General features: G+C 50.3%; 1 annotated feature.

The window, feature by feature from the left end:
• Positions 458 to 507: a silencer, noted in NCBI's record as "silent region_17077". NCBI's record gives its function as "represses an Ori minimal core promoter by ATAC-STARR-seq in GM12878 lymphoblastoid cells {active_cell/tissue: GM12878}" and the evidence as "EXISTENCE:reporter gene assay evidence [ECO:0000049][PMID:35858748]".

The following is a 1,455-nucleotide window of genomic DNA, read 5'->3' as shown; positions in this document are numbered from 1 at the left end:
CTCCTCGGGATGCTGAGGCAGGAGAATTGCTTGAAACCGGGAGGCAAAGGAATTGCAGTGAGCTGAGATCATGCCATTGCACTCCAGCCTGGGCAACAAGAGTGAAACTCGGTCTCAAAAATAAATAAATTCATTAACTGATTAAATAAAAATAAAAATAACTCACTTTGGGCTGGATGTGGTGACTCATGCCTATAATCCCAGCACTTTGGGAGGCCGAGGTGGGTGGATTACCTGAGGTCAGGAGTTGGAGACCAGGCTGGTCAACATGGTAAGACACTGTCTCTACTAAGAATACAAAAATAAGCCGGGTGTGGTGGCACGCACCTGTAATCCCAGCGACTTGGGAGGCTGAGGCAAGAGAATCGCTTGAACCCAGGAGGCGGAGGTTTCAGTGAGCCAAGATTGTGCCACTGCACTCCAGCCTGGGCAACACAGTGAGACTCCGTCTCAAAAAAAAAAAAAAAAAAAGAGGAGGGTCTGTTCTCCATCCCTTTCAAGTAGGGTGCTGTGACTACTTTGACCAACAGAAGATGGCAGAGTGATGTTGTGCTGGTTCCCAGCCTAGCCCTTAACCAGCTGGCAGTTTCTGCTTCCTGCCTCATGTGGATACTCCTTTCAGCAGCCCTCTGACAGCCACCACCAACCAGCAGCTGTGACAGAGAGAGGGCTGTCCTAGACTTCCAGCCCCATCAGGCCTTCAGAGACTCCAGCCCCAGCAGTAACCTAACTGCAAAAACACAAGAGACTCCACCCAGCTGAGCTGGGTCAACCCACAGAATCAGGAGAGATACTCATACATTGTTGTTTGATGCCACTAAACTTTAGGGTGGTTTGTTACGCAGCAAGGGACAGCCCAAATGGAGGCTTTAAAGTGAAGTGACTTACTGGGCATGGTGGCTCGCACACGTAATCTCAGTTACTCAGGAGGCCGAGGTGGGAGGATCACTTGAGCCCAGGAGTTCGAGACCAGCCTGGGTAACATAATGAGATCTTGTCCCTAATTTTTTTTTTTTTTTTTTGAGACAGACTCTCACTCTATCACCCAGGCTGGAGTGCAGTGGCACGACCTCGGCTCATTGCAACCTCCGCCTCCCAGGTTCAAGCGATTATCCTGCCTCAGCCTCCTGAGTAGCTGGGACTACAGGCACACGCCACCATACCTAGCTAATTTTTGTATTTTTAGTAGAGATGGGGTTTCACCATGTTGGCCAGGATGGTCTCGATCTCCTAACATCGTAATCCACCCGCCTCGGCCTCCCAAAGTGCTGGGATTACAGGTATGAGCCACCGCACCCGGCCACCTAAATTTTTTTAAAAATGAGATCACTCATTGTGGGTCCCAGGTCTTGGCTGTGGTTCTGTTGGTTAATGGTGTTCAACTGGGCAAAATGGTGGGAGAGAAAGCAGAGACCCCAGCCAGGCTGTTCAGTGTCGGCCTCCAGCAACAACAGC

Source organism: Homo sapiens, chromosome 6 (assembly GCF_000001405.40).
Source record: "Homo sapiens chromosome 6, GRCh38.p14 Primary Assembly".
Lineage (NCBI taxonomy): Eukaryota > Metazoa > Chordata > Mammalia > Primates > Hominidae > Homo > Homo sapiens.
This window is presented reverse-complemented; position numbering and strand designations above follow the sequence as displayed.